The 14,765-nt window shown below is 47.2% G+C and overlaps 1 long non-coding RNA gene and 1 pseudogene across 1 annotated transcript; one reads left to right on the top strand and one right to left on the bottom strand.

Annotated features, from left to right (window-relative positions):
• On the top strand, positions 9,764-9,926 carry RNU1-132P (RNA, U1 small nuclear 132, pseudogene; annotated as a pseudogene).
• On the bottom strand, positions 12,047-14,642 carry LOC124904572 (uncharacterized). The gene is made up of 2 exons (XR_007066991.1): positions 14,009-14,642; positions 12,047-12,321 (listed from the first exon to the last, which is right to left on the bottom strand). It is a non-coding gene; the product is annotated as an uncharacterized LOC124904572 (long non-coding RNA).
• Positions 14,643-14,765: the final 123 nt, after the last annotated feature.

Genomic DNA, 14,765 nt, shown 5'->3' with positions numbered 1-14,765 from the left:
GCAGTGCTGTTGTTGCCCCCTGGCTTGACTGTCATCTCACAGCTGTGTGCTGCCTGAGGCTGGGCACCAGCACGGAATTGCTAAAGCCTCCACCATCACTGCTGCAAATGTTCCCTTTGCCACTTCCCCCTTCACCTCATCAGCTGCACAGAATCTGCCATCACGTCTCCATCCTCTCAATTCTAAAGGTTCACTAGAAAATCAACAGTTCTGATCTACTCACATGGGGCCCATTCAACTCATGAGTTGGAAATGCAGTGTATCTGGATGGAGGAACAGACAGGTGGATAGATGGGTGGGTGGACAGATGGGTGGGTGGACAGATGGATGGACAGGTGGATGAGTGAACAGACAGGTGGACAGAGTGGGTGGACAGATGGACGGATGGGTGGACGGGTGGACGGACAGACAGGTGGGCAGATGGGGGAGTGGACAGATGGACGGACAGGTGGATGGACAGACGGGTGGGTGGACAGATGGACGGACGTGTGGATGGACAGACAGGTGGACAAAGTGGGTGGACAAATGGACAGACGGGTAGATGGGTGGATGGACAGACAGGTGGACAGAGTGGATGGACAGATGGACGGACGGGTGGACAGGTGGACGGAGAGACAGGCAGACAGACAGGTGGGCAGATGGGTGGGTGGACAGATGGACGGACGGGTGGGTGGACAGACGGGTGGGTGGACAGATGGACGGGTGGACAGGTGGACAGACAGGTGGACAGATGGACAGATGGGTGGGCAGACAGACGGGTGGGTGGACAGACAGGTGGGTGGACAGATGGACGGATGGGTGGACGGGTGGATGGATAGATGGAAGACGTATGACCTTGGGTGAAGAGAGGGATCAGGTGAGAGTAACTGGTCAGTAGATGCTCCTAGGTGGGGACTGTAGCAGCTCACAGTTTCCTATGAAAAGGCTGAGATGGAGAGCAAGCTGTGACCCTTCCTGCTACTTTTCTAATTTTAAAAAAAATCACAAGATTTAAGTGTAAAGCTTCATTTAAAAACAACAGCATAGGTAAGTGTTGGGGAATTCAGGAGTTATGGTCTCCACAGCAACATTCACGTGGCCACCCAACTACTAGCAAATAAATGAAATTAAGCATTTCTATTGCCCTTCACATTCAGCCGTATGCTAAGCAGTCACTTTATTGGTTTATAATTCCTCACAGCCACCCGTGAGGGAGGCAGCCTCCTCGCTCCCACAGGAAGGATGAGGACACCAAGTCCCAGGAGAAGAATGATGCCCAGAGAATCCCGTCATGGGACGAGCCGGGACAAGCCGTGATGAGCCATGACAAGCCGTGACAAGCCATGACTAGCCATGACTAGCCGTGACTAGCCGTGACTAGCCACAAGGAGCCGTGATGAGCCGTGACTAGCCGTAACTAGCTGTGACTAGCCATGACCAGCTGTGACTAGCCCTGACTAGCTGTAACTAGCTGTGACTAGCCATGACCAGCTGTGACTAGCCATGACTAGCCATGACCAGCCGTGACTAGCTAGCCATGACCAGCCGTGACTAGCCGTGACTAGCCATAGCTAATCTGACTCTGTGTGTAACAGCAGGCTGCAGGGTGCAATGCCACTCACAAGGTTGCAGAGAGAGCCGAAGACAAATCATTATTAAATGCCTGCTGTGCACTAGGTCCTGCTAGTGAGTTCTTTTCAAGCTCCTCCCAATGAAGACTGCATCTCAGGCAACTAAAGAAGCAGTAATAAAAGCCAGGGGCCACAATGCTCTGAGTGGGCAAGAACAGGTGAAGAACAGGTGAGAGGAAACACCCCACAGCCCCAGTTTGGCTGTGCTCTCTTATGTCCAGCTTCACTGCTGCACACAACTGTGACCATGTCCTAAGAGAAAGAAGAAAAAAAACCCACTAATGGTTCATGAGAATGAGGAGCGAGGAAGATCCAGGTCCTAGAGAGAGGAGGCTGTCTTGCGTACTTGATCACCTTTGGACCGTTTCACTCATTCCACAGATGAAAAGTCCCCAAAAGAGGTGAGAGATGTTTACTTAGATAAAACTTTCACTGTAGCGAATCTTAGCAAATCTCAGCTCCCAGAAGAACACAGGTGCATGGATTGAAAACACAACCAAATGCTCTAGGCCACAAATTGTGACATGTGACCCACAGGCCCCAGGAAGGGAGGCCTGACACCAGCACTGGCTCTGGCCTTAGCTCTCATCTTAATGTTCTTTAAGGGGGAATAAAAAGCAACAGATAAAATGCAGGGATGAGCTAAATCGAGAGGTGTTGCCAACACACCTGCAGAAGGGAAAATAAAGTGTGAAAATATGGAGTCTCAAAAGTATGAGAAAATCAAAGGCATGAAGGCAAGCCAAAACATCAAACTTCCTACTCACGGAGACAATGACCCTGACTCTGCATGGTAGACATTTGGAAAGCAGTTCTTGGCTAGGTGCAGTGGATCACACCTGTAATCCCAACACTTCGGGAGGCTGACGCAGGAGGATTGCTTGCGGCCAGGAATTTGAGACCAGCCTGGGCAGCATCCTAAAACCACATTGCTATTTTTTTTTTTTTTTTGAGACAGTCTTGCTCTGTCACCCAGGCTGGATTGCAGTGGACCAATCTCAGCTCACTGCAACCTCCGCCTCCCGGGTTCAAGCGATTCTCTTGCCTCAGCCTCCCAAGTAGCCAGGACTACAGGCGCCCGCCACCATGCCCAGCTAATTTTTGTATTTTTAGTAGAGACGGGGTTTCACCGTGTTAGCCAGGATGGTCTTGATCTCCTGACCTCATGATCCACCCGCCTCGGCCTCCCAAAGTGCTGGGATTACAGGCGTGAGCCACTGCGCCCAGCCAATTTTTTTTTTTTTTCATTAGCCAGTTGTGGTGTACATCTATCATCCCAGCTACTCAGGAGGCTAAGGTGGGATGATCTCTTGAGCCCAGGAATTCGAGGCTGCAGTGAGCTATGATCATGCCGCTGCACTTCATCCTCATCGACATAGTGAGACTATCTCTTCAAAAAAAAAACAAAAAAAACAGCCATACAAAAGCATGAGATCATGTCCTTTGCAGTGACATGGATGGAGCTGGAGGCCATTATCCTAAGGAACTAACTCAGAGACAGAAAATCAAAACTGCGTGTTCTCACTTGTAAGTGGAGGCAAAACAGTGAGTCCACATGGACATGAAGATGGAAACAGTGGACACGTGGCCTCCAAAGTGGGTGGGCAGGGACTTGCAGGGAGCAAGGGTTGAAAATGTACCCATCAGGTATGATGTTCACTCTCTGGGTAATGTGTACACTAGAAGCCCAGTATACAATGTACCCACGTAACAAGCATGCCCATGTACCCCCTCAATTTGAAATAAAATAAAATTTTAATAAATAAATAAAGCAGTTCTCCCTAAAGACAGGCAAGAGATAATGGAATTAATGTAAACTTTAATTTACATTAATTAAATGTAGTTAATGTAAACTTTAATTTACATTAGTTATGTAAATGAATAATTTACATTAATGAAATTAATTATGTAATTAATTACATAATTAATGTTCAGAAATAATGTAAACTTTTGCTACATTAAGGGAGGCCTACTTCCTGCAGGAAGCGTCTCTCGATGAGTCCCACTGATCCATGACACTCTTCACAGTCCCTCTGGGACTGCAATCTGATCTTCCCTAATCACTAACAATATAGCTATGCACGTGCTATCCATTTGTGTTTTTATTTGCCCTCTTTTCTCTATTAAATTGATTACTCCTGAAGAGTTCTAAACCCACTGTGCAGAGCTAAGGTGCAAAATGATTGCTAATTACAGAGCTCTGACTCAAGATTTGAGACACCCATTTAAGGGTTCAAAAATCTGTGCATTATAACCATTCGACTCTAAGCTCCTTGAGGCTGGTAGCCAGGTCCTTAATCTTTGTGTCCCTAACACTCAGCACAGCACTGGGTGTGGCTCTGGTTACAGGTATATGGAGGAACTCAGTATGTATCATGAATCTAGTGCGTTGCTTTCATGTGAAATAGCTCAGTTGAAACTTTTTCTTTTTTTTTTTTTTTTGAGACAGAGTCTCCCTGTGTTGCCCAGGCTGGAGTGCAGTGGCGCAATCTCAGCTCACTGTAACCTCTGCCGCCCAGATTCAAGCAATTCTTCTGCCTCAGCCTCCCAAGTAGCTGGCGCTGCAGGCACCCACCACCATGCCTGGCTAATTTTTGTATTTTTAGTAGAGATGAGGTTTTGCCATCTTGGCCAGGCTGGTCTCAAACTCCTGACCTCACATGATCCATCCACCTCGGCTTCCCAAACTGCTGAGATTACAGGCGTGAGCCACCGCACCCAGCCTGAAACTTAATCTAAAATATTGCATTCTGTTCTGAACATCTTATTGCCCGAAAGATAAATGTAGTGTATGATCACAGTAATTAAACAACTTAGAAGGGATGGCTTCAAAGTGAAGACTGAAGCAACTAGAATATGTATAAAATCTAAAAATAACTGGTAAAACAAGACTGTTTTCAGGAAGTCCATGTCTAGGGGTGAGAACAAAGAGAGAAACACACCTAGTTTAGGAGGTTTCAAAGGAGGGATGGATTTAAATTAAAATTAAGAAAGTGTAGGCAAGCTTTCAAGGTGAAAACAATGACCGTAAAATCTAGCAGACTGTGAAGTCATCTTCCTTAGTTACTGGAGGCCCATCACTGTTGAATTTTAAATGACACCTGGAAGATTCTCTAGTGCAATATTCACTTCTCTGCCAGCATAGAGCATTATGCTTTAGCAGTTTGGTTTTCAGAATAATTTATACTAAGTGATTAGGACTTCCCCCATATTCTTCTCTGGATAAAGTTAACATCGTTATTTCACTTAGAACTGTGAGAAGCCCCAAAATACAAAAAGCCTAAATGATATGCCAACACCACCAAAGAAGTTAGTGTGGCAGGGAAAGGGTTCGAATTCCAAGTTGCAAGCCACACTTCTCCCTACTTACCCCTCTCCGTGCCACAGTGAACAAGCGACTTTGCTGTTGCAGGATTCCCTGACCCAGAGCAACATACTTCTTGAGACCTACTCATGGCTTCTGTTTTGACCTCCCAAGTGCTACATTCAGGTCATCTTTATTTTTATGTTATTGACAAATTTACATAGACGTTTAAAGCCTTTCCTTCATGTATGCTCTTGTAGCTGAGATGCCCAGAACTGGTGTTTCCACCCCTTTATGGGGGAGGGGGAATGTAATCTAATGTTTAGAAGCTCAGGCTCCAAAGTCAGAAAGCCAGGGTTGAAAATGTGGCCCCACAGCTTTCTAGCTATGCAACCTTGGGCAAGATACTTAGCCTCCACTTTCTCTTTCCTCATCTATAAAATGAGGATGAAGACTGGGCACAGTGGCTCACTCCTGTAATCCCAGCACTTTAGGAGGCTGAGGCAGGTGGATCACCTGAGGTCAGGAGTTCCAGACCAGTCTGGCCAACACGACGAAACCTGATCTCTACTAAAAACACAAAAATTAACTGGGCGTGGTGGCGTGCACCTGTAGTCTCAGCTACTTGGGAGGCTGAGGCACGAGAATCGCTTGAACCCAGGAGGCAGAGGTTGCAGTGAGCTGAGATTGCACCACTGCATGCCAGCGTGGGTGACAGAGTGAGACTCTGTCTCAGAAAAAAAGAAATGAAATAAAATAAAATAAAATGAGGATGAATAATAATGCTTGCCTCATGAGGACTAAATTCGGTAATTTATATGAAAGGCTTAGAATAGTACTGGACACATAGTACAGCTCAATACACTTAAGCTATAATCATTACCTTTTGGTAATTTAAGGTAGACATTCCCTCCACATGTGGACTCTGAAATCTGACAGACCTCAATCCTTGAAATTCATCTGCATCATTGATCTCTTTCTTGGAGAGTCTCTTCCCACAAAAAGGATAACTTGGGGGGAAGCAAGAAGAGAACACAGGGTGGCATCTTCTGCCTCTGCTGGGTCGTCGGCTGGTTCTCCACTCTGGTGTGCCAGCTCTGTACTGGGGAGTAGAAAGCCTGGGGACTATATTTCCCAGTATACCAACTAGGAGCATTCCAACTTAGATTGGGCCGCTGAGAGGCACTCGAGTGAAATTTGGAAAATAGAAGAGAGGCAAGCCGGCTTGCTGCTCCCCCTTCAACAGGTGGCAAACACGGCAAGCATGAGTTTGCCTTGGCATTTGAGCATTTCCCCAGTGAATCCCACCTTGGTACTGCAGGCAAATGTGACCCTGGCAATGGTTTCTGCAGGTTCTGAAACTTGTTGTTTTTCCTGTAACTGGTGGTGGGCCTGAGGGCAATGAATGGCTTTCCTGAACCTTCGCACCTCTAGCCTTCCAGTGATTTTGAAGCTCTAATTCCTAGATCCCTAAATCTCTTCTTGCTTGAACAAAGAAGAACACTAGAGAAGTTACATTATGTGACTTCAAATTATACTACAGAGCTAAAGTAACCAAAACAGCATGTTACTGGCATTAAAAAGGACACATAGACCCCCGGAACAGAATAGAGAACCCAGAAGCAAATCCACACACCTAAAGTGAACTCATTTTTGACAAAGGTGCCAAGAACATACACTAGGGAAAAGACAGTCTCAATAGATGGTGCTGGGAAAACTGGATATCCATACACAGAAGAATGAAATTAGACCCCTATCTCTCAGCATACGCAAAATTCAAATCAAAATGGATTAGAGACTTAAATCTAAGACCTCAAACTGTTACAAGAAAGGAGTCTTGATCCAGACCCCAAGAGAGGGTTCTTGGATTTCGTGCAAGAAAGAATTCAGGGAGAGTCCAGAGAGTAAAGTGGAGGCAAGTTTATGAAGAAAGTGAAGAAATAAAAGAAAGGCTACTCCACACACAGAGCCCTTGGGGCTGCGGGTCGCCCATTTTTATGGTTATTTCTTGATGATATGCTAAACAAGGGGTGGATTATTCATGCCTCCCCTTTTTAGACCATATAGGGTAACTTCCCAACATTGCCGTGGCATTTGTAAGCTGTTACGGTGTTGGTGGGAGTGTAGCAGTGAGGATGACCAGAGGTCACTCTCGTCGCCATCTTGGTTTTGGTAGGATTTGGCCAGCTCCTTTACTGCAACCTGTTTTATCAGCAAGGTCTTTATGACCTGTATCTTGTGCTGACCTCCTATCTCATCCTGTGACTTAGAATGCCTTAACTGTCTGGGAATGCAGCCCAGTAGGTCTCAGCCTCGTGTTACCAAGATCCTATTCAAGATGGAGTTGCTCTGATTCAAACGCCTCTGACAAAACTGTGAAACTACTGCAAGAAAACATTGGGGAAAATCTCCAGGACATTGGTCTGGGCAAAAATTTCTTAAGCAATACTTTGCAAGCACAGGCAACCAAAACAAAAATGGACAAATGGGAACACATCAAGTAAAAAAGCTTCTGCATAGCAAAGGATGCAATCAACAAAGAGATGAGACAACCCACAGAATGGGAGAAAATATTTACAAACCACCCATCTGACACGGGATTAGTAACCAGAATATATAAGGAGCTCAAACAACTCTATAGGAAAAAGTCTAATAATCTGATCAAAAAATGAGCAAAAGATTTGAATAGCTATTTCTCAAAAGAAGACATAGAAATGGCAAACAGGCACATGAAAAGGTGCTCAACACCATGATCATTAGATAAAGCAAATCAAAACTGCAATGAGGGCCGGGCGTGGTGGCTCACGTCTGTAATCCCAGCACTTTGGGAGGCCGAGGCAGGTGGATTGCCTGAGCTCAGGAGTTCGAGACCAGCCTAGGTAACACGGTGAAACCCCGTCTCTACTAAAATACAAAAAATTAGCTGGGTGTGGCAGTATGCACCTGTAATCCCAGCCACTCAGGAAGCTGAGACAGGAGAATCACTTGAACCCAGAGGTGGAGGTTGCAATGAGCCAAGATTGCACCACTGCACTCCAGCCTGGGCAACAGAGCAAGACTCCGTCTCCAAAAAAAAAAACAAAAACAAAAACAAAAAAACTACGATGAGATATCATGCCAGCCCAGTTAAAATGGCTTACATCCAAAAGACAGGCAATAAGAAATGCTGGTGAGGATGCAGAGAAAAGGGGACCCTTGTGGGTGGGAATGTAAATTAGTAAACCACTGTAGAGAACAGTTTGGAGCTTCCTCAAAAAACTAACAATTGAGCTACCGTATGATCCAGCAATCTCATGGCTGGGTAGATACCCAAAAGAAAGGAACTCAGTATATTGAAGAGATGTCTGCACTGCTGCTTGTTACAGCACTATTTACAAGAGCCAAGATTTGGAAGTAACCTAAGTGTTCATGAACAGATGAGTGGATAAAGAAAATGTGGTAGATATGCACAATGGAGTACTATTCAGCCATAAAAAAGAATGGGATCCAGTCATTTGCAACAACATGAATGGAACTGGAGATCATTGTATTTAGTGAAATAAGCCAGGCACAGAAAAACAAACATCACATATTCTCACAATTAAAATAATAGGACTCATGGACATAGAGAGTAGGAGGATGGTGACCAGAGGCTGGGAAGGGGAGTAGGGGGGTGGGGATGGTAATGGGTAAAAAAAAAATAAAAAATAAAAAAAAGAATGAAAAAGGCCTACTATTTGATAGCACAACAGGGAGACTGTAGTCAATAATAACTGTACATTTTAAAATAACTTAAAGAGTGTAATTGGGTTGTTTGTAACTCAAAGGACAAATGCCTGAGGGGATGGACACCCCATTCTCCATGATGTGCTCCTTTCACATGGCGTGCCCGAACCAAACATCTCATGGACCCCACAAATACACACACATACGATGTACCCACAAAAATTCACAAGAAAGAAGAGAAAAATCTCTTCTTGCTTGAAATACCTAGAGCGGCCTCTGTCTTTCTGATCGATTTATTGCCTGAAGGAATGGAAGTCTCAATATACTCATTCAACAACTATATTGAGTGCCTAAAAGCAAGGCCCTGCTCTGGGTGTTAGGAATACAGCAGCCAACCAAACGGAAAGAGACCTGCCCTCCTGGAACTTACATTCTAGCGGAAATAAATAGGAATTGATAAGGGCAGGGCAGGTAGGACAGAGAGTGTGGGGTGGGGCAAGGGGCATCCTTATTTCCTAGGGTATTTGGGGAAGGTTCATTGCTAACAGGAGATCTGGGCTGGGACCTGCAGGAAGTGAGAGCCCTGGGCAGGAGGCTGTGTGGAAGGGCATTTAGAGCAGAGCGGATGCCGGCAACAAAGGCCCCGAGGCAGGAGCGCGCTCGGCGTGGTCTACGTGAGGAACAGCAAAGTCAACGGGCCTCTGCGGCTGCCAAGTCAGGGGAGAGCAGCACGAGGTGATGGCAGAGGGATACTGACAGCCAGCCTGGACATCCCATGGGGGCCGTGGTAAGCCCTTTGGCTTTTACTCCAAGAAAGATAAGAGGCCAAATGGAGGCTTCAGAGCAGAACAGCGACACGTCTGTTTTATGTTTTATTCAGATCACTGTGACTACACGTTGGGAACATAGTTACAGAGGCAAAGACCAGGAAGGATGTCATTGCAATCATCTAGATGACAAATAAAGGCAGCTTGGACCAGGCCAGTAGCCATGGGAGGAGGAGCACTGGAGATAGATGATATAGATCTAGGTGTAGATATAGGTAGATATCGATGATAGATATCGATGATATAGATAGATATAGATGATAGAGATAAATCTATATGTGGGTGTATTTTTAAAATTGTGATAAAGTCCATATAACATACTTCCCTGGCAGGGAAGGTGCCATGATCATGAAGATGGTTTTCCCAGAGTGAGGCTCACCCACTGCACTCCAGGTAGGCTGACCCCTGCCATTTCTCCAAATGCAGGAAACTCAACTGCATAATTTGTGGTAGTGGGGGACTTTGTCCACGCTTCTCCTGTGTCACTCTTGTCCAATGAGAGATCATAACTTGAAGTCGGTGGTCTTTATTGTATAATTTATTTATTATAAAAATGCATACAACATAAAAGCATCTTCAGCGTTTTGGAGTGTACACTGAGTGGTATTACATACATTCACATTGTCGTGCACCCATCACCCCCATCCATCTCCAGAGCTCATTTCATCTTGCAGAACTGAAACTTTGTACCCATTGAGCAGTAACCCCCCATTTTCCCCTCCCCAGAGCCCCTGGCATCCACATTCCACTCTCTGTCTCTAGGAATCTGACTCCCTGAGGTACTTGAGATAAGTGGAATCACAGTGTTGGTCCTTTGGGAACTGCCTTATTCCCTTACCATAATGTCCTCAAGGTTCACCCATGCTGACTGGCCAGATTGTGAAGGTAGGATTTGGCGGATTGGATGAGGAGGGAGAGGGAGAAAGAAGGGAGGCAAGGATGATTCTGAGACTTGGGGCCTGAGCAGAGGAATGGAATGCTTGGTAGAAGGTGAGCTGATACCCGAGTCCACAGGATGTCCAGCTTCCCGTCTCTTCTGTCTCTGCCACACCCCACACACTGCCCCAGCTCTCGGTGGGCAGAGGATTCTTCAGGCCTTACTGCAGCTCACATGTCAACAAGAGATGCTGAAACATTTTCATCTTTCCGTCATCCAAATGAAGGAAATGAGGGGCCGTGGATATTCATCCTCCCCTCTGCCAGTGTAGGGAAAACAGAGAACAGATGAGGCAGGAGCATCAGAGAACAGATGAGTGTCTCAAGGGCGGATCTGCGCACCCTCGGGATCAGCAGTGCACTAGGAACTCCTGTGAGATGAGAGGCTGAGACAATCGCACACACATTATCTTAACCCAAACAAGGAGTGAACGTCCAGCCAGAAAAGCTTCTCCCCGTGCCCGGCCCCACAGGCACCAGACAGCTCAGTCCCTGCTTCACGAGCAAGCGCTCAGAGCCCACGGCTTGCTTCTTTCCTCTTCCCACAGCCACCCCGCTTGGTCAGCCCTCAGTTCCACATAACTGGGGAGATGGCAGTAGTGCCCCATGAAATTTGTCCCATCCCCATTAAGTGGTTTTCTTGTTTGTTTGTTTGTTTTTGAGATGGAGTCTTGCTCTGTCACCAAGGCTGGAGAGTGCAGTGGCGTGATCTCAGCTTGCTGCAAGCTCTGCCTCCCGGGTTCAAGCGATTCTCCTGCCTCAGCCTCCCGAGTAGCTGGGATTACAGGTGTGCACCACCGCACCCGGCTAATTTTTGTATTTTTAGCAGAAACAGGGTTTCGCCATATTGGTCAGGCTGGTCTCGAACTCCTGACCTCAGGTGACCCGCCCGCCTTGGCCTCCCAAAGTGCTGGGATTCCAGGCATGAGCCACCATGCCTGGCCTCCTGTTAAGTCTTAAAAGGAGCTACAGATGCATCTTTCCTGGAGCACAGCTTGGCGGTGCCATTCCCTGCTCAGAGCGTGTTAGCGGATCTCATTGTCTAGAGCATCAGTTCCATGGTAGGAGGGACATCCCGGGGCACATCAGGCGTTTTGGAGGAGCTCTCTCCGACTATCTCCAGCCCCTGGAGCTTCTCTGTGAGCTGGACCTTCTCTCCCAACCTCGGAATCATGGGTCTGCGGCATCAACTCTGCGTGGCCTTCAAGGCCGTCCTGGAGCCAGCCCCGGAATAACCCCACTATGCTTCACCTCCGCTACTCTTGTCCACAGACTCTAAGGTCCAACCAAACTGAACGACTAATTACTCCCTGACGAGCTCGCCCCCTCCCACCTCTGTTTTGCCTTCGCCCACAATGGCCTTCCTCCTCTCACCACATATTCATTCAGATCCTTCCTCCTACCATGCCCAGCTTCAGTGCTACCTCCTCCAGGAAGCCCTCTCTGATATCTGCAACTGGGTGCACTATCTTCTTCCCCAAACCCCCACAGCCATCTCGTGTGGGGTGTGGGCTGCTTTCTTGTGGCTGTGATTTCCTATAAAATCTTTCTCTCCTATCAGACCATGAACTCTCCAAGGACGCCATTCGCCCACATTCCTATTAGTTCCCCTCACAGGGCCTCACACGTGTCTTTTAGGCTTCAGAGTTGGTTAAATCAACAAAGAAATGAGACAATTATTTATTTTAGTCAGATATTCAACTTAAAAATCATTCAGCGGGGGCACTCCTGAGACTGTCAGGATCATGTTCGGTTCCTCGCAGTTTGCCGGCTATTGGCATTTGTGTCATCACACACAGTCCGATGAGGTGACAACAGAAAAGCATATCTCACTTCTGTTGTAGGTTTCCATTCACTTTCGGATTCTCAATCGCCCTCTATTTCCTCAGTGATACTCCAGACTTTTCAGATGTTCTCATTGACCCATTCATCTTTCTTTCTTTTTTTTGCAAAACCAAAAAGCAAGAAAAGAACTTTATATTTTGTCCAATAGTCCTAAGAAATTTTCCCTGTAGAGAATGTCATCTAAGTCAAAACAAGGGTTGAATAGGGGCACCCAAATCAGTTATCACTTAGGGCTGTTATAAGAAATGCCAAGACTGGGTGGCTTAAACAGCAGACAGTCGTCTCTCACCGTCTGGAGGCTGCAAATCCAAGATCAAGGTGCTAGCATGGTCAGTTCTGGCGAGGACCTGCTTCTGGGCTCAAGAGCACTACCCTCCCCCCGTATCCTCACATGGTCGGTCTCCAGCCTCTTCTCATAAAGGCGCTGATCCCATTCATGACGGCTCCACTCTCACAGCGTAATCACCTCCCAAAGGCCCCGCCTCCAAATACTGTCACACAGGGATTAGGATTTCAGCATAGGAATTCTGGGGGGACACATTCAGTCCATGGCCCCCTGTACCTGTGAATGTGATCTTATTTGGAAATAGGGTTTTGTAGATGAAATTAAGTTAAGGATCTTGAGATAAGATCATCCTGGACTTAGGGTGGACCCTAGATCCAGTGACTAATGTCCTTATAAGAGAAAGAAGAGGGAGATTGGAGACACACAGACACTGTGGAGAAGCGCGGGAGAAGAGGTCCTGTGAAGGCAGAGAGGCAGGGACGGGAGTGACGCAGCGGCAAGACGAAGAACGCCTGGGGCCAGCAGTAGCTGGAGAGGCAGGGGCGAGGGCGATCCTCCCCTAGGACCTAGGGGGAGAGCGTGGCCCTGCTGCCACCTGGATTTTGGATTTCTGTTTTGAGCCATCACGTTTGTGGCAACTCACCCTGACGGGCTTAGGAAACTAGTGCGTTAACCCATTGCATCAGTGCACAGAATAACACCCCGACTTGTTCCTGGGCCAGCCTCCTACCTATTAGACCCTACCTCTCATTCCTTTTTTTTGTTTGTTTTGTTTTGTTTTGTTTTGTTTTGAGGCAGGGTTTCACTCTGTTGCTCAGCCTAGAGGTGCAGTGGCGTGATCATGGCTCACTCAGCCTTGACCTCCTGGGCTTAAGTGACCCTCCCCCTCAGCCTCCCAAGTAGCTTGAACTGCAGGTGCATGCCACCCTGCCCAGCTAATTTATATATATATATATATATACACACACACACACATATATATACACACACATACACACACACACACACACACACACATATATATATATATATATATATTTTTTTTTTTTTGTAAAGACGGGGTTTCACCATGTTGCCCATGCTGGTCTCAAACTTCTGGGCTCAAGCAGTCCTCCTGCATCAGCCTTCTGAAGTGCCAGGATTACAGATGTGAGCCCCCACGCCCGGCTTCTCCCTCCTTTTTATCATTCCCTCTCCCCTCGTCTTCCTTGGCTTTCCTCCTCACACCTCCTGCGTTTGGCCCCCTTCCATTTTCTTTCTGCTTCTCTTTCCCAACTTCCCCCTCATCATGCCACAGGGACTCCTGGGCTCCGTGCCACCCCCCTGGAAGTCCCCCATAATGAAGCAGGATTTATGCCTCACACTTCACCGTGGGAGAGCAGAAACCTCTCATTTGAAGCAAAAGGCACTGAAAATAAGCAAATAGTTATGCATTTGTCACTATCAGGTCCTAGCTGGCTTCCGCCCTACCCCCCGGCCCCCACCATCTTCTTACTCATTCAGGTCATCGTGTCCTCTGATACCCAGTAATTTCCATCATTTTCTACATGCATTTCTGTTGGTCTTCTGAGAACTGTGATTTTCCAAAGCAGAAAGGGCACATCGTCTTTCCGGAGCCTGGAAGGTGCAGGCACTGATGCGTTGGGGGAGATCACAGTGTGACAAGGATGGGGTGGGAGTGTGTCACCCCCCTTTGTACCGACCCTCAGCAGTGGGGAGTGAGCAGAGGAGATAGAACCTGGGAGGAAGAGAGATTTCCAATTACTTCCTTCCCGGTCCCTTCTCCACTGGAGCCTGTTATTCCTCTGCTGCTGGGGCCTCTGAATGTTCTCTCACTGAGCCAGGAAAGAGCTTAGTGAATAAAGAACGAGGTGTCCTAGCAGTGCAGGGAAGATGTCCAGGACAGTGAGTGTGAACGTGGGGTCCTGGAGAATGTGCACGCCAGCCCTGCCGCCTGGTGGGCTCTGCAATCAGCCCCCCAAAACCATTCACCAATCACCTTAGACAACTGCGTGTGCAAAAGCCCTCTTTTTGTGTCCTTTGAAGCTTATATTTTTTTATCAGGCTGGGGGCGTGGCTCATGCCTGTAATCCCAGCACTTTGGGAGGCCGAGGCGGGAGAATCACTTGAGCCCAGGAGGTCGAGGCTGCGATGAGCTATGATCATGCCACTGCACTCCAGCCTGGGTGACAGAGTGAGGGCCCATCTCTACAAAAATTTAAAAATTAAAAAAAAAATCTTTATCAAAGAAA

Source organism: Homo sapiens, chromosome 1, assembly GCF_000001405.40.
Source record: "Homo sapiens chromosome 1, GRCh38.p14 Primary Assembly".
In the NCBI taxonomy this organism is placed as follows: domain Eukaryota; kingdom Metazoa; phylum Chordata; class Mammalia; order Primates; family Hominidae; genus Homo; species Homo sapiens.
This window is presented reverse-complemented; position numbering and strand designations above follow the sequence as displayed.